Source organism: Homo sapiens, chromosome 6 (assembly GCF_000001405.40).
Source record: "Homo sapiens chromosome 6, GRCh38.p14 Primary Assembly".
Classification (NCBI taxonomy): Eukaryota; Metazoa; Chordata; class Mammalia; order Primates; family Hominidae; genus Homo; species Homo sapiens.
Genome location: NC_000006.12, coordinates 114,217,971 through 114,239,953, shown reverse-complemented (window position 1 = coordinate 114,239,953; position 21,983 = coordinate 114,217,971). Strand labels below are relative to the sequence as shown.

Here is a 21,983-nt window from a genome sequence, read left to right as displayed (position 1 = left end):
TGAGCTTTGTGCTGGCAAAGTATCTAAGAATCTTTATATCCCCCATGGCTTAGAACAAGGAAGTTATGCTATACGTTTTTGTTGGATGAACAAATGCATGAATGTTCCTAATTAAACAAATTTTAATTGATGCTGACCCAGAGAATATGGTTCACCTATTTCTGGATATTAAGCCCCTCCAAACAGAAAGGGGGATCTCAGAGTTAGGCAGTCTTTCAGATACAGCTCTCAGCATCCTGTCTGTGGGGATTTCACCTGTGCCTGCTGCAGTGTCTCATAGACCAGATGGAGGCCAACTGCATCCAACTGCAGAAAACGAGGCTAGAGTTAAGTATAGATGGCAAAACAGGTCTGTAGTTCTCATCTCCTAGTTTCAAACGCAACTCCTGTCTCCTAACTGTGGCTGAACAGAAAAGTGCAAAAGAGAGGAGACAGAGGTCTAACCCTTGTATGCTTATTGTTTACCTCATACATCTTTCCCTCCCCAAGGAAACCCCATCACAATTTCAAGATTAGGGGCAGGGCCACTTTTAGCCCCATTTGGCGCTTTTATGCAAATTGTTAAAATGTATCTCTCCCTCCTGGTGGATGCAGCTCATATCAGGGTGATGGATGGCAAGCAAAACGCATGTTTGATTCGAGCTGCTGAAAAATCATCCTCTCCACTAGGTACCCTGGTACATGAGCAGGCCTGTTTCTATGCCTTTTGCTAACTGAAAATTAATGATAACAGAATCCAAATCAAGGAGGATATTTTTATGTGTATAATGAGATTAAACAACTTTGCAAATTGAAGTCACTCAAGAAAGTGTAAAAGCTCACAAATTTGAAGTTTATAGTTGAAAGCTTGCCTGTGAGTTTTAAAAATAATCTTAATTTAATCTCTGATTACCTTCAGCATTTCTTTATGTCCAATATACGGAGTGCTTAGAAAAGTATGATCTGTCTTTGGAGAGCTCTCAAGCCTAACAGTGGAGAAAGTAAAAAATATTTAGAAACAGAAATGCACAAGGGATAATTACTAATTTGAAACTGACAACAAACCTAGATTTTATATATTATTCAGCCAAACAGTGGTACAGAGGAGCACTGGCAGAGCATGGAGTTGAAAAACAACATTATGTAGAATAACCTATTAATATGGTGGCGGGGGCTGTGGGGAACAAACTTGGTCCTCTCTCTTTTCTTCAGGGTACAGGTCTATAATATTCAACCTTGTCTATTATCCATCTCGCAAAATGAGTAGTTGGTGACATCTCAGGATATTTAGTCAGAAAATGCAAAGTATTAGACCAGCCCTCTCCCAATGATTCCTTTACACTTTCTTAAACCTTCTTTCTTCTATTACATATTGGGTACAATGTTTACTATTCAGGTGATGGGTATACTAGAAGCCCACACCCTACCATTATGCAATATATCCATGTAGCAAATCTGTACGTGTACATCCTGAAACTATAACAAAAAAAAATCTTTTTAAAGACACACAAAAAATATTTTTTTCCTATTCTTCTTTTTAACTTATCACATACTGGTAAAGTGATCCTCTAGCCAAGTAAGCAAACTATGCCACAGCCAATCTTCTACACTGATGCTCTTTCCTTTGGCCAAACCACCAGAAGTTCTGCTGGGCTGAGTTTGTGTGGTCCATAGAGACACTATTGAGCAATTTCTGGACCTTTCTGTAGAAAAGCAAGAGCCACCAACTGTTTCCTAGGAAAGCTCTTTTCCAATAATTCGATAGACATAGGTCTACATTTACTCATGGGAGAGTTTTAGTCATCTAATAAATAATCATCAAGCAGCGTCTTCAGTAAAATAAATCTTTGTCTCCTTTAAGCAGACTAAGTCTCAACATTTCTGTAGCAGTGAACTTTGTGTTCCCACTATCATGATTATCTTTTTGTATTTTGTATGTTTAAAGTAGATGAATTTTTAAAAGCTTAGGATTCTAAATTGCTATGTGTAAATAAGCACCTAATAACATTGTAATTAAATATTGATGAGAAGATACAAAATTGCTTTTAGAAAGTGTATATTCTGACAGTGCTTATATTTTATTTCTCTGCTTCTCTTTCCTCTACCAATCTTCTTTATTAATACTTTATCTAATTTGCACAAAAGGTATCGTGGTTTTCATTAAAAATATAGACCTGACTTACGTAGAAAACTACTATTAGATTCTAAATGAGAATCCAGATTAATGAACAAACTTTGCCTGTTTCTGTGTGTGTCTGTTAAGGAACTTTTCCCAGAAATTCCAGAATCATACACTCTTAGGCACTGAAGGTGCTTGGAGGACATGTATTCAGTGACTCTCAGCTCAGGTTCCATATTAAAATCACATGGGGAACTTCGGAGGCTCAGTTTCTCCACCCCAGACCAGTGGAACCAGAATCTGTGAGGATGGGGACTGGGCATTGGTATTTCTTTACACCCAGGTATAGTCTAAAGTGCAGCCAAACTTTAAAAACCTCTGGTTTAATCCAACCGCTTTTTATATGAATAGACAAAATAAAAATTGAGGAGGAAGAAATAACTTATCTCAGGCCATAGTAGAGCCTAGATTAGAAGCCACATCACCTAGCCCCAGTTAAGAGCTATTTTCATTAAAAAAAAAAAAAGTACTCGTATCTTGTTTTATTTTTGACTTATTTGAACTTTCCCTTGGTATTAACATTAACAGAAGAATTCTGTTTCTTAACTTTTCTGTGAAATGGATATTTTTGTCAACTAGAGAAATGATGCTGTACAATAGCATAAATTAACACATGGATGTTCTACATTTCCCAGTATTGTTTACCTCCTTGCCTTTCATCAAAAATACATTAGTCTTTGATTGTTGTAAAGAGTTTCAAAACATATTTTTAACTTTCATTTTATGTAAGTCAAGAAGATGTCGCAAATCATTTTAGCATATGTAGACTCATTTTTAAAGTCATCATAAAAAGTATGGGTAGCTCACTTTCAGTGTAACATTCTGAGAAAGTGGAACTGATAACATGGGCCCGGCGTCGGCAGTACTGAAGATGTAGATAGTTCAACATTTTCCAGTTCTTTGACATCTATCTTTTCTGTATGTTTATATCTATTGAGCCTATCAAAGTCTAAAATATTTCAATAGAGTATACAATTGCAGTACCGATTGTTACATGGCATAGGTTTTATCTTGTGGAGAGATGGAAAAGTGTATCTAAATGCATCATGCCTATGCTCAGAAGTAATGCAAATCTTCTGTCATGCTGGTACCAGAAATAAATGAAAACGATAGTAGATAAAGACTAGAAGTATTTTTCTCTTTTGCGCACACACAAAATATTGTGTATAGTGATCATCATCATGCTTTAAGCATCCACTATAAGCCAAACATTCTATTATCAGCAGAGAAATGTACCTGCAACAGACTCCTCCCCACCAAAAACAGCACAGAAAAATTCACCTGTTATTAATCAAAAACAAAATAAACAAGTGTACTTTAAAGGAGTTGGGAGTAAAGAAGAAACATTTAAATGAGAAAAAACATATAAGTATGAGGATATTCTGTGAATTATGAGTAAAGCTATATCCATTCACTCAATTTTTCAGCCTATTACAATTATTCAATAACGATATATTTACCTAATTGGATAGTTGACCTGAGTGTACCTATGTATAAGTTGATGTTATCTTATGTGAGTTGCATATGATTTGTACTAATTATCACTATAGTACAAAACATAGAGAAATTCATAAATGGCAGATGTCTTAATGAGCACTTTTTTAGAAGACCTGAAAAAAATGCCCATAGTAGGACCACAGAGTGAGGAAGATCAGGGTGTTGAACAAAGTAGACCAGGTGGCTCTCTATAATGAACCCCATAATAAATCTGCCCTTGTGGAAGGTACCACAGTTTAGGGTACAGATGTCTGAATTACCAACCTGAGAGTCTGGCTCAAGGAGGCACTCTCATTCTGGTCAGACTCATTAGGAGCTGAAGTTTCTGAACTGCAAGGTTGATTCATGAATGGGGACCACTCCTGACCACTACTGTTGCCAAAACATTGATATTCTTTGTGTCCCCTACCTGGACCACCTTTTCTGTCCTGTGAACTGATCAGTAAACATGGATGATTGCAAGGGATACACCATCCAGACAAAGGGAAATTTGTGGAATCATCTGAATAAGTGACTTCTGCCATTACCTGGAAGGTGTAGGATCCTGATCAACATGGTCCACTTCTGACTTCTGGATTTTCTCTTCCTTCTCAAAGCTGGTGGTGTTCAAACCACGTTCCAAAGACTCTAGGATTCCATGTAAGAATTGTTTTGTTGGAGGTGCATCCTCTTAAGAAGAAAAAAAATCCAAAATTTTAAGTGCTACTCTCATCTAGCCCTCCCCTTCCTGTATTAACAATTTTAGCTTCTCTAATCATATTCTAGTTCTGTATCCTTGTAATGACATTCTTTTTAGATCTCTTTAATGGAGTATTGGGAGTTCTCAGACTCTTCTGTCACTCATTTGTTGAGAAAATCACAGAAAGCTGATCATCTAGGGGTTACAATGTACGTGTATTTTTTTTTTTTACTTGTTTAGTTCTTATCATACAATATTATTTCTTTTGTTTCCTTGGGAAATTTTTTAAATTATGAGGAATAATTTTACTTTGTATTAATAGGAGCTATCATAGCGTATTCTAAATCTTTGAACTAGAGATTAATTTAAAAAGCTTTTTACCATTTTATGCAGTATTGGAGGAATACCTGTGTAAAGTATATATAAATGAGCAATCTCATACTCTTAGAAGAATTTTTGTTTCTTTTGGGGGCTTTTGTTGTTTGTTTTGTTTTGTTGAGACAGAGCTTTGCTCTGTCGCCCAGGCTGGAGTGCAGTGGCACAGTCTCAGCTCACTGCAACCTCCGTCTCCCAGGTTCAAGCGATTCTCCTGCCTCAGCCTCTGGAGTAGCTGGGACTACAGGTGCGTGCCACCACACCCGGCTAATTTTTATATTTTTAGTAGAGACAGGGTTTCACCATGTTGACCAGGCTAGTCTTGAATTCCTGACCTCAGGTGATCTGCCCACCTCAGTTTAGCCACCCCACCTGGCCCCAGAAAAAGAATTTTAAAAGAAATATAAAAGGTTTGTGCTATAATTTTAGAACATATATCAATTTTCATGCATGGAATAAACACAATTTTGTCAAAAGATCCAGAAATTATTAAATAAAACAAAAAAAGTTTAGCAAATAAAATATCCTACACATGAAAATTTGCTTTTTCCCCCAAGTACAGAAAAGAAGCATGTCAGAAAAGGCACAGCATAAGAAGTTATTCTTCCATCATTCCGTTAATCTTATTTTTTATTTATATACAGAAGAGCAAAATAAACAGTGCAGCTTCAACCTACCCGTTGGAGTTTATGTTTCAGGAAAAATGAAATCATGACTGACACTTTGGTGGAATTTCTTATTTTGCTTGAAAAGCAATTGAATATTAAATCATGATTCACTAGTTTCCTAAAATATCTTTTAGTACTCTAGGGGAAAAGTGTAAAATAGCTCACTCTCAGATTTTTAAGAGAACTATGTGTAGTCATTCTCAAAATGCATTTCATGCAAGAGGGCTCTTTTTCTTTTCTTTTTCATATATATATATATTATATATATTAATTTTACTAATATCCTAACAGATTTAATACCCTGTGAAAACTAGAAAGTATTTATAACTGAATAACAGGTATATAGAAACCCAAAGGCAATTACTTCTTGTATAACTATGCCTTAGGCAAGCTTCAAGTTGTTTTTTAGAGCCCGAAGATTAAGCCTACTCAGGAATTTTATTCAGGCACAAAATTTGCATCGTCTACCCTTACATTTCCTGCCTCTCTTCCTTTTGTATCTCTTCAATCCCAATTCTGCCTACCGTTCTCCAACTTGGAAAACATTATCTGGCTACAGCTAACACTGTTAGAAGCCCTGGAGAAGCAGGTATCCCTGTGTCTTCCTGTTTAACAAAATACATTCCCAGCCCAACTGTTTTCATTGCTTTTATGTTCCCTATGCATGTTTTCAATTTAGGCTACTCTGGGAAATATTTCTCTTATTTGGAATGATATTAGTATATAAAATAGGCTAGAATTTCATACCTACTTTTGAATCTCTGAAGATCCTTTTGTTCTTTTCAGGTAAATGTCCACTAACTAGGAATTAATTTGAACTTGGGGTAACTGTTTTCCAAAATAATCAGTCTCTAACTCAAAAGACTTCAGCTCTTAGTTATTAAATGTATTTTTTTCTATTTTTCAAGGATAAATGATGTCTAAAGAGAAATATAAAATATTTGAAAATATGACCATGAAAATAGCAAACATGCTTGAGTGTTTGTCCACAGAACTCAAGGTTTAGCTGAGGGTTTTTCTTGTCATGTAGAAAAGCAGCTTCTTTATAGTTAATCTGTGTAAATTCTGTAGAATTCTGATCAGACACAAATGTTCTATTTTTTACTACCTTTTTTTGGCAGAGTAATAATATATTTCTTCTGGGTCATTTCTAATCTTATAGAAAAGTGGTAAACTAGCCATTGTGAGAGAGAGAGAATCAACTTCAAGCTTTTGAAAAATATTCAGAGTTGAATTATTAGTATTGATAAAATCAAATACCTTCTGAACCCATACTATTTGCATGGCATTCTATTATAGGGTATGAAGTAATGTAAGACATATCCTTATCTTCAATATACTTATAAGTAATTCAGACAATAATATATAAAGGAAACATTTTTAACACAAGGTGCTTCATGATTTAAGAGTTACTGCAAAGTAATTGTTCATTCATTCAACAAATATTTGTTGAGTGCCTACTATGTATTAAAGACTCTGCTGAATGTTGGGTATCTAAAAATGAAAAAAAAAAAAAAGAGTGTCTGTCATCTAGGGAGATGAGGCTAGAGAGTTAGACAGGGATCAGATGATATGAGGTCACAGTAAAGTGTTATCTTTCTTTAGCCTGAGAACTGTGGAAAGGTATTAAAAGTTTTTACACAAGGGATTGGCACAATTAATTGTGTTTTTTTAAAAGATCACTCTAGATAGATGCCATGTGGAAAATATACTGGAGGGAAACAGACAAGGTTATGATGGTGGTAGAGGAGGAGAAAAAGAAGAGGAGGATACACAGAGAAAAGTAGTGAAGTAGGTTTGAAAATTATTTAGGAAGTAAAATCAAAAGGATCTGATGATTAGATAATGAACCTAAAGAAGAAAAGAAGGAACAAATCTGCTCTGATTCCTTTTTAAAGGGTTGAAGACTTGGGATTTTGGCTCATTCAACTGATGACTGATGGGGCTGTTTACAAAAAGAGAACACTGGATGAAGGCTGATTTAAGAGGAAGGTTTTTATGGATTTAGTTATAAACACATTCAGTTTGGAGAGTCTTCAAAACGTTGAAGTTCACATGTCAACTATTCAATTAGAAATAAAATATGGGTCAAGCATGGTGGCTTATGTCTGTAATCCTGGCACTGTGAGAGGCTGAGGTGGGTGGATTGCTTTTGTCCAGGAGTTTGAGACCAGCCTGGGCAACATAGAGAAACCTCATCTCTGCTAAAACTGCAATAAATAAATAAATATGGAAATAAGGGAAAAAGTGTTAAGCTAAAGATAAAATTTGAGAATCATCACCAAATGATTGGTCATAGACCTTCATGAGCTTTCTTATTAGTATATACAGTGGATAATAAAGTGGTTTCGATTTAGGATTCTCTCATTATGAATTAGAAGAATCTGGAAAGGTTTAATGGGGGAGGTGAGCTGAATCATGAAAAACTATAGAATATGGATAATACGAGAGATGAGTAAAATGAATGAAATTGGTAGGCACACGATAAAAATAGAAATAAATAGAAAAGATATTTTTAATTGAAAGTAATGTAAATACTAAGCCAAAGTGGCTTAATCAAAAAAGGAATCCCTAGATTCACATATAACTGAAATGTTTAGGGTATTCCTACTGCAAGCAAATCTCTCTCCAGGAGTGAAACAATAACAGAACCCAGTTCTTCTTTTTCTGTTTCTCAGCTCTGTTTCCTTGTTGTTCACCTAATTTCATGCAGGTTTTCCTCTCATGATCCCAAGATGGCTGCCAGTAGTTCCAGAGGCTGCATTTTACATGCTTATGTCCAGTAAGAAAAACAGAGCTTTTTTTTTTTTTTTTTTAAATAGAATAGGGCAACCAAAGCCTCAGAGTGGAGACCAATTGACCTAATAAGGTTATGTGCTCATTCCTATCATTGCAGGAAGAGGTTGAGATACACTGATTATCTTAAGAAAATTAGAGTGCAACTTTGGAGTGGGGATAAATCCACCCAGCAAACCACCTAGAGCGTTCAGAAAGGGATAGGAAATCTGGAAGCTTTCATATTATGGGGAGAATTAAATGCCAGGTTAAGGACCTTGGACTTTGTATTAGACCATTCTTGCATTGCTATAAAGAAATGCCTGAGACTGGGTAACTTATAAAGAAGAGAGGCTTAACTGGTTCATAGTTCTTCAGGCTTTTCCATAAGCATGGTGCTGGCATCTGCTGGGCTTCTAGGGAGGCCTCAGGAAGCTTACAGTCATGGCAGAAGGCAAAGGGGAGCAGGCACATCACATGGTGAAAGCAGGAGCAACCTTTTTCAAAGCTCGAAGATCTTGGTTTTTGGCTTATTCAGCTGATGACTGATAGTGCTATTTACAAAATGAGAGCACTGGAAGAAGGCTGTGTTTAAGAGGAAGGTTTTTATGGGTTTAGTTATGAACCCATAAAAGATGCCACACACTTTTAAATGACCATACCTCATGAGAACTATCACAAGAACAGTACCAAGGGGATGGTGCTAAAACCATTTATGAGAAACCCACCCCCATGATCCAGTCACCTCCCACCAGGCCCCACCTCCAACATTGGGGATTACAGTTCACCATAGGATTTGGGCAGGAACAAATATACAAACTACATCAAACTTAATTCAATAGACAAAGAGAGCTCTTTGTTTTGAAAAGAATAGGGATCCAATGAGATCAGTGCTTTAAGAAGTACGTCTTAGGGGCCGGGCGCGGTGGCTCGAGCCTGTAATCCCAGCACTTTGGGAGGCTGAGGCGGGCGGATCATGAGGTCAGGAGTTTGAAACCAGCCTGGCCAACATGGTGAAACCCTGTCTCTATTAAAAATACAAAAAAAAATAGCAGGGTGTGGTGGTGTATGCCTGTAATCCCAGCTACTTGGGAGGATGAGGCAGGAGAACACTTGAACCCAGAAGATGGGGGGTTGCAGTGAGCCGAGATCATGCCATTGCACTCCAGCCTGGGGTGGGACTCTGTCTCAAAAAAAAAAAAAAAGAGTCTTAAGGCAATTACAGAACATACTATAGCATCTAAGAAAAAAGAAATAGAGAAATCTATTAAAGAGTCTCTGCCAATACTTTAGGAAAAAGATGGTGAAAGCCTGAACTGTAGTTAAGGAAGAAATATTTATGAAGGGAAGATAGTAGTGAAGTGCTAAATGTGAAAAATAGTTCAGTAAAAAAGAATCCACAAGACTTTGTGAGATAAGAATAATGAACTTTGAGGTGAAACTTAAGTCTCTTACTGAGATTTTGAGTAATGTCATACATAGCTTTGTCACCGAGGCAAAGATGAGAGTCTTCCTTTTTCCTGCTATAATACTGGACCGTCTCCTTCCAAACCAAGCCCTGCGCTAGGCTTTCCATTCCATTCCATTCTGTTTTAATTCATTACCGTCATCTCCTGTCCCATTATTCTCCACATGCCCAAATCTCCTAGGAGTCAAAAAAAAAAAAAAAAAAAAAAAAGGCAAGTTCCAACCTCTGTCAGAATGAAGGCTGTTTTTGACTCTGCATCATGAAACCTTCTCCTTATTGGAGTTAAACAGTAGCTATCATTGCAACCGTTTCAGTGGCACTTACTTTTTAACACATTTTTTGTACATTTTGTCAACCAGAAATGCCTCTATCAGCAAGAAACGACAACTGAATGGTTTACACAGGTAGAATTTCAGGGAAAGCCATTAGTGCTATTTGTTAAGTTGCTCATCCTTCACAGGCCCTATATCTTTGTGTTTCTCTGGACTTCCATTGTCTTTTACATCATGGGGACAAGACAGCTGCTCTATCCCGAAAGCATCATGTCGTCATTCAAGGCAAGCAAATGTGTGAAAGAGAGAAGAGAAGCAGGAATCTGTTTATCAATAAAGCAATATTCTGGCAGGATTTCTTACCCAGCATACTTCTTATAGCTTATGAGCCCAAATGGGGAGCCAAAGTGGGGTCACATGACCACTCTTAGCAGTAAGGAAGAATCAGAAAGTGAACACTTGATTTTCTGTTCTCTATTTGTGAGAGGTGTAGCAAGAAAGAAGAGAGCTGGGCGCGGTGGTTGGCCAAGCAATAGAACCTTCTCTGAGAACTATTGTTATGCAGTGTACTCTGGGTTTGCATGTGTGTATGCTCTTGTCATCTTAGTTTTGACCATGTATTTATCTGTACATTTCATTTCCTCTGTTCTTTAGGAGAGTACTTGCATGGTTGATTACCAATTTTAAAAATAGATGTTTTCTTCTCTTTTTCTATCAGCCACTACCAACTTCTGCTTAACTCATCCAACAAAGATTCTAGAATTTTGGTTTTCCCGAATAGGCAACACATTTTGACTAAAAAGAATATTTTCTTGTTTATACCTAATTATCTTGGCAAGTACTACCCATGTGAAAGGAAATATAGCAAAATTACCAGATGATTCCATGGGGATTTAAAGTATCCCATTTTATCTTTTACGGGGGTGATAGAGCCTCATGTAAAGAAATATTTCCAAGAGACCTCATCAACCTGACTTAGAAATTCAGCTGCAAAATGTAGCACCTGCATATCAAAAATAAAATTAGTAATGATATCACCTGATGCAATGTGTAGAAAAAAATAGTCAATTAAAGCAATAGGAATTCAACCAGAATGCCCTGCAGGCAGCATCATGTAATTCTGACTTCACAATGACATGAAATTTTAAATGACAACTCTGCTAAATCAGGGAGCAGCAAACCCTGGCCAAGTTTAAATTTAGTAACACTGAAAATAACTTTCTCCATAGCAGATTCTCTATGAATTACAGGTGACCGACCACTTCTTTTTCTGTTCTGTTTAGAGATAATCAGATACTCACTGTCTTCAGCATTGGTGTCTTCTATTCTCAACGGCATTTCTGGTGGCCACCCCAGGAGTCTCCCTGACCTGTTTTAAAACCCTTGGAAATTAAGGAGAGAATCCACTACATATATTCCTTTGAAAGTTTCCACCATATATGTTCAAAAATTGCTGAATGAGCACAAGGATTTGAAGGTAAGCAAATTTAGGGGGTACCACCACACATATTTGCATAACTCTTAATGGCATCAAAAGTAATTATATATTTTAATAAAATATAAGAAAGGAAAAGAAACTATTAAATGTAAGAAAACTATCCATGTATGTGTAGTTCCACAGCAAAAAGGGGAAATAAATAAAACATAATGTTTAAAAATTGTTATCTGTCATGTAAATGTAAATACAAGAAGGGCAGAGTAGAAACCTTGATATTTGATAATCAGTATCACATTACAAAGCATTAACATACTGTGGTTCTCAAAGTTTAATGTGCATAGGAGTCACATGAAATTGGGAGGAGGGATCCTTAAAATGCTAATCCCTGGGGATATTTCACAGAAACGTAGATCCACTAGGAATGGGATGTGTCGTAAGAATGTGTATTTTTACATTTACCCACTCACAAGTTATCCTGATGCCTGTGAGTCTGAGGCCTTTGAGAAACACTGAAAGTGACATTCAATACAATCTAGTTCCCATTTTCAAACCTTATGCTAAACCTGAGCTTTTATGTTGGTTGTTTCCTATAGTCATAAGAATAAATAAGGAAGGGGTAATTTTGTTACAGAAGTGCTAAATTGATGCTCCCTTTTTGACTCCCCTAATTTGAGTTATTCCTTTTTAAAGTTCAGTATGATGGGCTAATTCCCAGGTGTCACTATCTCTCTTTCAGAGTGATAGCCCTGTCATTGTTCTCTGTAGCTATTGCTCTGTTTCGTGTAATGTTTCAATTATTTAGATATTTAGGGTTATTGTATCTAATTATAAGAAATTTCTAAAAGATGAAAATAATGAGTTGTTACTAGGTTTGGTGAAGTATTTCTAAATTTTGAGGATTGTGTCTTTTTCTCTTCATTTTGAAAGCTCAGACTTAGATTTTAAAAGAACAAATCTGCTTAATACCTCTTTCCATTACTTTTTTTCTTAGCAAATAAGAACTTATAAATCATGTGATACATTTACGGAAGTTTACATGTACATTTGGTGAATATCACTTTATTGTATTTCTGTTTCCTATATGTCATTTAGCAACTTCATTTTTATAATTTGTAATTTTAAGTTTACAAAAGGTTTTTTTTATTTCAGTGAAAGTGTTTAGTAGGGGCATATTCAGATCTTAAATTGTGATGTTAAAGGTTCAATAAGATATTATTTTTATAGTGAAGGCTGAAGTTTTTAATCAAAATCCTTTTATTGGATTTCAGGCTTATAGACATTTTTTGTCTCTATTAGTCTTTGTGTACACTTGTTCACATTATGTAGAATTTTTTATCCATAACGTATCAAAAGGCAACAATAAACCTTTCATCAAAAAGAAGTATATCTTAATAGTGCCAATTAGCACATATTAGCTATTAGTTTTACATGTAGAGAATTGAATATAGTCATTTGCATAAAATAATAGAGTACTTTTTTCAAGTAATCAAAATTAAAAATTTGCAGTATTGGATTAACTATAATAATGAAGTTTCACATGCACTTGTTATTAGAATTGTGCTCACTAGTAAGATTGTCATACCTGAACATAGCCTAAAATTTGTAGTTCACAAGTTTATCATTGGATAAAATCTCCAAATAAAATTTCATAAAGCTTTTAGTGTAAATCATCTGCAATATTTCAATTTCAGAGAAGCATACCTTTACTCATCTCTCTCTTTCTTTCTTTTTTTCTTATTACTTATTTTTTCTGGAAAAAGGAACAGGTAGAGAAAGAATGAATTGTGTCTTGAAGTGAATCATGTTCATTATCATTGGTGTATTTATCAGACTATGTTTTTAAGTTGCAGTTTCTTAAAGAAAACTTACAATGTAGTTTCAGGGAACCTGAGCAAGACAGTCTCAATACGCAGGAAGCAAAACATGCAACAGAAGAATAAATTACAGAAACTTTATAGAATCATAGAAACATAAAGTTTTAGAGCAGAAATGGACCATTTTGATCTTCTAGTCTGTCCCCTCATGTATAATCACATTTTCTCTTCATATAAAAGTCTCTTCATATAAAAGTTTCTCATATAAAAGTCTAACACAATGAGTAGTAAACAACAATCTGGTTAGGGATGACATCAACAAGGGGAAGTTAAGTGGGTGTTTTTCAATAATGATTTCTTCAATAAGAAAACTAAGGGGAAATTTTTCCTCCAAGATGAACATTGAAGATTTATAGATACCTAAGTACTTAAAATTGAATTTAAAATAATTTGTGTCCAATTAGATCGAAATAATTTTTAGGTATAATTCTTCATTTGTGGAATATTGTAGTGGTATGAAATTCTCCATGTTTTCTTCTTCATTAAACACTGATAATTTCAAATTATGACAATTAATTCCTTGGAAAGATTCTTTATTTCTTGTATCAAATAAGACAATGTACTTTCAAGAATTCTCTAACTATAATAGTTCCATTTGGAGGATAATGTTATATGTTTGGTTCCATTAGTGTTAATATGTCTTAATTCTCTGGTGTAACATACGTTTAGTTTCACCATTATTACAACCAGCTGCGGTTGGCCTACGATTTTGTTCATTCTGTCTGAATCCAAAGTAATTAGCTCTTTAGTTTAATGACAATATTTGTTAATGGGTTTTTAGGGCCAAATTCTGCTGTTCGAGAGTGGGTGGTATATTTGAAGATAAAACCTGGCCCTTATGTTGTAAGCATAAGCTGTGTAATTTTACTTCAAGATGATGGTTTACAGAGTTTGGGGTAGGAAAACTAAATGTGCATTTGTCTGAAGTTTCTCATTTTCAAGAAGCAGAAAATAAAAGTGACAGTTTATGTAGATGAACAGCAAACCCACTGAAAGTTCCCTGATACAGCTATCCTGCATGTGTTATTCTATAGCTAGAATATGGAACACAATGACAATTATCAAACAGGCTTTAGATACATTCTTTTATGTGACAGGACACACACTGAGTTTTTAAAGTGCAGTGCAACAGTTTTGATCATTGTATTTTTGAAGGATTTAGTGAAGTGGAAAGAATCCTTGCCTGGGAGTCACTAGGGTTCAAAGTCTGACTCAGCTTCCTAGTAGCGGCATGACCCTAAGAAAATATTTTCACCTTTGCCTGAACCTGTTTCTTCATCCTAAAATAAGACTTTTACACCAGATGATCCCAGAGGGTCTTACTGGCCCTAAAATGATAAGTCTAACTTGCTTTAAAAGAGCACTATAAAAGGATGGTAGGGAAGATGCAATGACTTGAGCTGACTGAACAAACAAAACAGCAAGTCTACTACTAGAAGGTACATGGGGATATTTTGGCCTTACAAACTTTCCTTCAATGCCTTGTTACTTTTATCCTAGAGTAGAGAAATATTTGAAGGGTTTTATGTAGAAGAGACTATAAGTCATGCTATTGGAAGTTTCAAGGAGATGAATTTTGGCAAAATTTGAAAAAACTTACAAAACTAGTAACAGTTGAGATACCCAACAATGAATAGGATGCCATGGTAGATAATGAATTCACCATCCCTTATGGTACCAAAGGTTTTATGACCTGCCCAACTGCCCTTCAAGGTGTAAAGGCTAGAGGCAAATTTTCTGAACATACTGGAACTTAGGAAATATTGTTATCAAGAGTCCATCTTGAAACAACCATTAGCAACTATTAGAGCCCTTCTTGAAGCAACTATTATCTATCCAGCCAATAAGTGACTATAGAAATTACTGCAAAAAAACTGATTGCAAGCATTGAATATTTAACTCTAGCACTAAATCTAAGATAAATATAGAGATTAGGGTGATGTAATAGAACATAAAAGTATAATGTCCTGACAATGTAAAACTAAAACAACTAACAAAAATTAGGAAAGACACAACAGAAAGAAGTCGGTGTGTGTGTGTGTGTGTGTGTATATATATATATGTATATATATATGTATAAAATAAGTTATTTGATTACTTTATTCTCAATATCAAGGAATCAATGAATATTTTTCAAACTCACAATCAAACTATAGAAGTATAAGCAGATTTAAGAGTACAAAAAAAGATATAAAGGAGCTATTGTTATTGCCCAGAAATAGCTGGTAAAAAATGGAAACAGAGAGAGAACTTTTCCTCTCACACATAATAGGAAAATAGTAAACATTCTAAAGAGATAAATTATCAAGGTTATGAGATTATAGAAATGATATAATTTATTATGTGAGCCTATAAACATTATGAATTAGAAGAAAATTTATATTTTGAAGTTACCCAAAATAGACCATATCATGAAAGATTTTCTCAAATCCTTTGTGACAGTATGTTTCTGTCATATCTTTCACATCAATAAATATAAAAAATACACTTATTTCTTTAAAATATTTTCAAATTGTATCGTAGCATAAAACCCAATTCTAAGTTATACAAGTATACAACCAATAGAAGCTAATTCAAAACTTTGAAAATGAAAGGATAGGCAAAGGTGTACTGGGAAAATGCTATCTAAAGAAATTAGGAATTAAAAATCTTAGTATCAGAAAACATAAAATTTCAGGGCCCAAAAGCATTTACTAACACAAAAGAGGGACTCTATAATAAATGCTGATGGGTATAATACATAATGAAGGTATATGATCTTGAATAAGTAATAGCTTTAAGAGCTACCATAGAAGTTTGTTCAGCAAATAAACTTCTGAAAACATCCCAAGAAATAGAAATAACCCATTTTTTAGGTGGTAGACTAAGTTTAAAAATTCAGCTCCTGTATTATGAAGCCAAATATTTATATTGAAATTTATTTTCAAGACAAAATATTTCTATATCAAAGATAATTAAAACTACTCATTAACCAAAAATTAGGTACTTAACCAGTCACTAAATTTTTTTCATTATCAACAAAAAGAGGTTCCACGTAGCTTCTCTTTTTGAAAAGAAAGCAAGCAAGCTTCCAATAAGGCTGTAAACGTATGCATAAAACTTTTTTGATTTGAAGAAAAATGGAATGTTTGGACTCCCCCTACCCTAAACAGCTATTCTAAACAGCAGGATATAATTCCAGAGTTTCTGCAGTCAAGAGGTTTCTGCTGAGCAGAAATTCTTCTTCAATTTAGGAATGCAGATGATAATAATTTTCCTATCCTTCTCGCAGCAGGTTTCCTGCCTTCATTTTGCAGACTCCTAAGCTCAGTTAAAAACAAATAGGGAATTTCAGTTCCAGGTAACACATTCTTCAAACATAGTCCCATTAACCCAACTTAGTTATCATGCAAAGCCGCTTAGCTTCACTAGTGAAATGGAATACAGTTGAATTGCCTTTCTAATGTAATACCCATTTGTGATAAATGCAAAGTGGTTTATGATGGCAAATTTTGTAGAGCATGAAAACTTATGAGAAAAGAAGCTTATATTTTCTAACCTAAAATTATGAAGAAATGTCATATATGTTGGCATGGGATACTCCTATTAAAATGAAAAAAATATTCAAAAATGAAAATTTAACACTTGGCCTTTATTATATATACCTCAGCAAAAAAAAAATTAAATCGAACTATTATATTTCACAGTAACATTTTTCCTACCTTGCACATTCTTTCTAATTTAAATGAAGTTTCTCTAGTTTAATTTCTTTCCTTCTACTAGATCTCAACCACGTGGCCCAAAATTTCCTTGTTTAGGAAAGTAAAGATTGCTCAAATACATCTTTTGTCTGCTGATACAAGAATAATCTTTTCTGTATAAATGCAACTTAAACTATCTAAACCACACATTACTACAGAGTAGGTCACTAAGACATTGGACTTATCCTTCAAATGAGTAAATTCTAGATGGTAGTTTCCTCAGGTTAGCTAAAATCATATTTGATAAGATGAGTGTCTTAGCTAACATTTTACAGCCACAAACCATTCTATCTTCATTCCTTGCTCAGGTAACTCACTTTGTTCTTCCATTCCTTGCTCTTCCTTCACGAGCAGGGTATATATACACTGTGCCATAGCAACCACATTTCTATCATGCGTCATCAACATAGCCAAATTTAATGACTGATTTTAATAATAGAAAAAGTAAGTTTCCAGCCAAGCTCAATATGAACTTTATAAATGATAGTGGCTTGATGTGAGTGTTCTGATGCAGGAGAGTTGTGCATTGTACAGTGATTTCAGCTGAGAATCAAGACCCATTCCTATATACATTGTAATTCAATGCATTCTTCATTTCTTCATTCATTCAACAAGCATTTGGTTAATAACTACTTTGTGGTAGGCTGTTCTAAGACTTGAGATACATCATTGAATGAAGCAGACGACAAGCTCTATTTTCATGGCCTTGTTGAGGCATGGCAGGCAATAAAAAACAATTATAACAAGTAAATGAATTATGTGGCATTATGGACTACAATAAGGTATAAAAGAAAGAAAACCTAAATAAAACATAAAATGGATAAGAAACAATATGACAAGATATGAGACGTGAGATCGGATCCTATACTTTGTTCCAGTTCTTCTGGCTGATGTTTTTCAATGTTCATTCTTGTTGTCTTAAAATCAGAATATGTGAATTAGATTTGGAGAGTGGAGTCTTTATTAAATGAGTGTTGCGCAAATTTTCTTTGTTTAATAATCAGCTTCTCTACATTTGATATTCATACTTGAGATACTTACAAGCTCTCCCCAAGCAATACTGTGGGATTTCCAAAAGGGTCAAACAATGAAGAATATTAAATTTAAATTTATTTTCTTTTTCCCGATAGTTTACAACCCATGGAGTAATTTTAAATTATTATAGTATCACTATAACTGTAATTCTTGTCAGTGATGTTAAGCAAAGCCTAATTAGTTTAAAAAGATGCAAACATCAGCTAAGAGTATGTTAACTTTTAGAATCTACCCGGATTTTAAAGGTATGTCATTATGGAACCATTAGATAAAATTCTTACTTGATTATCAGAAAAATGAGGACTGAACTTTACATTTGAATATATATTTTTAAATATTTTATGTATCTTTTTAAAATTATCCATTTTATAAGTACTTTTCAGTAAAATTTAGTAAATTTAGAACCCATGGAATAATTTTAAACTATTATAGTATCACTATAACTGTAATCCTGGTCAGTGATGTTAAGCAAAGCCTAATTAGTTCAAAAAGATTCAAATGTCAGGTAAGAGTATGTTAACTTTTAGAATTTACCTTGATTTTGAAGGTATGTCATTATGGAACCATTAGATAAAATTGTTACTTGATTATCAGAAAAATGAGGACTGAACTTTAAATTCGAATACATATTTTTATGTACTATATGTATTTTTTAATCACCTATAGTAATTTTTATAGGTAATTTTATTAAAAATGTAGGTAATTATAGTAAAATGATGCCACTTTTAGACTTATTTTTATGTTAATTACCATGTAAATTCTTACCTACCAGTCCTGTAGCATCACAGACTGATTGAGCTGGAAGTAATTTCAGAATTTCTAGTCCAACTGCCTTTGTTTGACAGGTGTGTGAAAACTGAGTTCCAGAGAGGGAAAGTAATTTGTCCAGGTTAGATGGTGTGTGCAAGTCCCTGTGCCAGTTAATAATAGAACTGAGTTGGAAAGGAAACCTATTCTTTTAAATCCCAACCTAGTATGTTTTTTTGTAATTGACTCTACTTGAGATTTTTCATTGCCTATTATCAAAATAATGTTTCCCTTAAAATTAAGGAGAATTGACCATATCTTTGCATTTCTTAAAGTTATCTAATTATTGAGTGTGCCTAAGCTCCCTGAAATAGCCTCAGTTGTTTAAAAACCTCTTCAGCACAACTGGAATTAGACTTTTAAAAAAATGAGAATGATCTTATCTACAGCCACACCACCCTGAACGTGTCCAATCTCATCAGATCTCAGAAGCTAAGCAGGGTCGGAGCTGTTTAGTATTTGGACAGAAGAATGATCTCTGGAGATTTTTTTTTCTTTGAAAAATAAATGAAATTATTTATGAAGCCATGAAATGACTTACCATATATTTATCAATATATGGCACAAATAAAATACAACTGTATTATTTTTCAATGAATTATGAAAGAAGAAAATACTAAGTAGTAAAGTGCTGAGCTTGGAAAATAACTTAAGTAACGTCTGTGCCCTGGGTTCCTCCGAGTCCTTAGGAAGTGATACAGAGTCATTTGAAAACTCTTTGAAACCTCATATGGGAAAATTACATAACTCACTGGAAAATTTCAGTAGATTTAATAGAGCAGAAAGTTAATATATTCAAAACACAAAGAAAAGTATAAAAGACTGTCTGCTAAGCCTAGGGAGTTTCATATGCAAAAAATTAAATAATTAAAGCAACATCAGTTATTTTCAAAGACAGTTCTGAGTTTAAGCATTATAATACATCATAAAAAATTATGCATTTGGTGCTTATAAATGGATTCTAAATTTCCTTGAAATGAAAGATAAAACCATGGCTTTATATAATGGCAAAATGAGGCTTTCTCATTGCACAGAATAGAATTTTCGTATGTATTTCCAGGCATACCATTTATTAAACCAATATAATTTAAATTGTAAGAAAATTTAAAAATATGTATAACTTTAGAGACAGGGCTCTAAATGGTTTGATAAAGAATGATTATGGAAGAAGCTGTAAACAACTAAAGTCCTGAAGACTTAATAAGTACTTTATGAACTTTTCAAGGTTTTCATGGTTTTTCTGGTAGTGAATGAAATAGAAAAATAAATAATTCAACCAGCTTTTACTTTGATTGTTGTACATTTTTGAATCATATAAAATTAAGAAGCTAAAAACTGGATCTTCTACCTGTTCCAGTACACATGGTACCATTCAATTAAAGTCTTCTATTGATAAGTAAAGCTCATTGAAAATCACAGTTTAAAACTACATCTGATTCTTATTAATGTGATGCCCAATTATTAGCATTCTCGCATTAGGCATTTTAGACTAATTGTTTATTATTTTCAATAATAACAAAAAATGCTTAAAAAATACAAAGCTAATATATTTCACCTTACCAATGAAAGAAAAACTGTGAAAATAACTAATTTACGCTTATTTTTGATGGCCTGAATTCATTTTGTCTGAAGCCCTTAGTGATGTCCTTGGAAATGTTTATCCCTCTCCTTTCCCTCTACCCCTTCCCCCATGAATATGTATGTGATTTAGAAGGCAACATTTTTTTTGCATATGCTTTTCCCAAAGGAACTTTATTTTTCATTTTTAATCACTTCATAGTTGAATTGTCCTCTGATCAACAAGGGGATTAGTGGGCCACACGTCCCCTCTACGTAAACCTATATGGTCCAAGAGTGTTGTATTTTGCCTCTTGGGCTGAGTAAAATCGAACCTACCTTTGCCTTTCGTTGTTTTTTCACACATTATGTAAATTGGTAAGAATAAAAATAATGTGATTGGAAGTACAGCTTGACAGACAATATAGTGTAATATAATATCCAAATACTTATGAGGTAGCAATAGTGCCTTGGGGCACCACATTTATTGTGAATGAGGATTTGCATTTACACATTTTTCTCTATGGTTTAGATTGCATACTAAATTGCTGTGGGAAAGTAGAACTGTTTTTAAAACATTCTGCTTAACCACTTTACGGGTAACAAAGAAATGCCAAATCCAGTTTCAATCTAATTTGGGAAGTAAAGTACAGAGGCACAAGAAGTCACATTACACAAGAGTTAATAATAAATAGAAATTTCTGTATGGATTGACATGACCGTTATAAATTATCCTTCTATATTTCATATCTAAATAAATTCAGTGTGTGCAGAAGTTTAAGCAAAAAAAAATAGATTTAAAAAGTTTTATTCATGATTTAACAGCAAGAGTATATTTCCTAATGATTTAGACTTTGGACATAAAAAAGTTACGTGTTTGATTCTGAACAGGGACCAAGTAATACAACTCTGATTCTAGGCCTACTCAGGGAATGGCATTTTTCATTTCTTTAGGCTATGCTGTTTAAATACCAGCTGTTTAAATACCAGTTCACTCCCAGCTCATCATAAAACCACATCATTCCTTCGAAACCTCGCACCTACTGATGAGCTTAGTAACCTTTCAACTAAGTTTTTCAGTTTTCCAAAAGAAGCAAAATTTTTAACATTGAGGTTTTGAGTGTTGTTTAGTTTCTGAAGAGAATTATTCATACCAATATATGTTTGTGTAAATATCAAAGACCTTTGTCATTGAAACCGGAACTGCTTAGTTGTTCAGGTAACAAAATGAAAACATTCTTTTCCATTTTGTTTTGCACCTTAGCACTGAGAGTCATCACTTACAGGAAACAATATATTTAAATTTGTATGTAGACCGGGCACGGCGGCTCACTCCTGTAATCCCAGCACTTTGGGAGGCCAAGGTGGACAGATCATCTGAGGTCAGGGGTTTGAGACCAGCCTGGCCGACATGACGAAACGCTGTCTCTTCTAAAAATACAAAACTTAACTGGGCATGGTAGCAGGCACCTGTAATCCCAGCTACTCAGGAGGCTGAGGCAGGAAAATCACTTGAACCTGGGAGGCGGAGGTTGCGGTGAGCCGAGATCATGCCACTGCCCTCCAGCCTGGGTGACAGAGCGACACTCTGTCTCAAAAAAAAGAAGAAAAGAAAAGAAGAAATACGTATGTAGTTTAGT

The 21,983-nt window shown here is 34.4% G+C and overlaps 1 protein-coding gene, 1 long non-coding RNA gene and 1 pseudogene across 12 annotated transcripts in view; 2 read left to right on the top strand and 1 right to left on the bottom strand.

Moving 5' to 3' along the window:
* The window catches only part of HDAC2-AS2 (HDAC2 and HS3ST5 antisense RNA 2), a 371,029-nt gene that overhangs the window by 100,776 nt on the left and 248,270 nt on the right, over window positions 1-21,983 (bottom strand). The window contains exon 9 of the long non-coding RNA NR_125845.1: window positions 4,183-4,324. This is a non-coding gene — a long non-coding RNA (HDAC2 and HS3ST5 antisense RNA 2). The remainder of the gene's footprint in view (window positions 1-4,182; window positions 4,325-21,983) is intronic.
* Window positions 1-21,983, top strand: part of HS3ST5 (heparan sulfate-glucosamine 3-sulfotransferase 5) — a 287,428-nt gene that overhangs the window by 103,070 nt on the left and 162,375 nt on the right. For 10 of the 11 annotated variants that reach the window (NM_001387046.1, NM_001387041.1, NM_153612.4 and 7 more), the window contains exon 2: window positions 11,176-11,369. The exons of the other annotated variant lie outside the window; for it this stretch is intronic. The gene's annotated coding sequence lies outside the window, so the exon portion shown is untranslated. The remainder of the gene's footprint in view (window positions 1-11,175; window positions 11,370-21,983) is intronic. 11 annotated transcript variants of the gene reach the window in all.
* Window positions 19,168-19,273, top strand: RNA5SP213 (RNA, 5S ribosomal pseudogene 213; annotated as a pseudogene).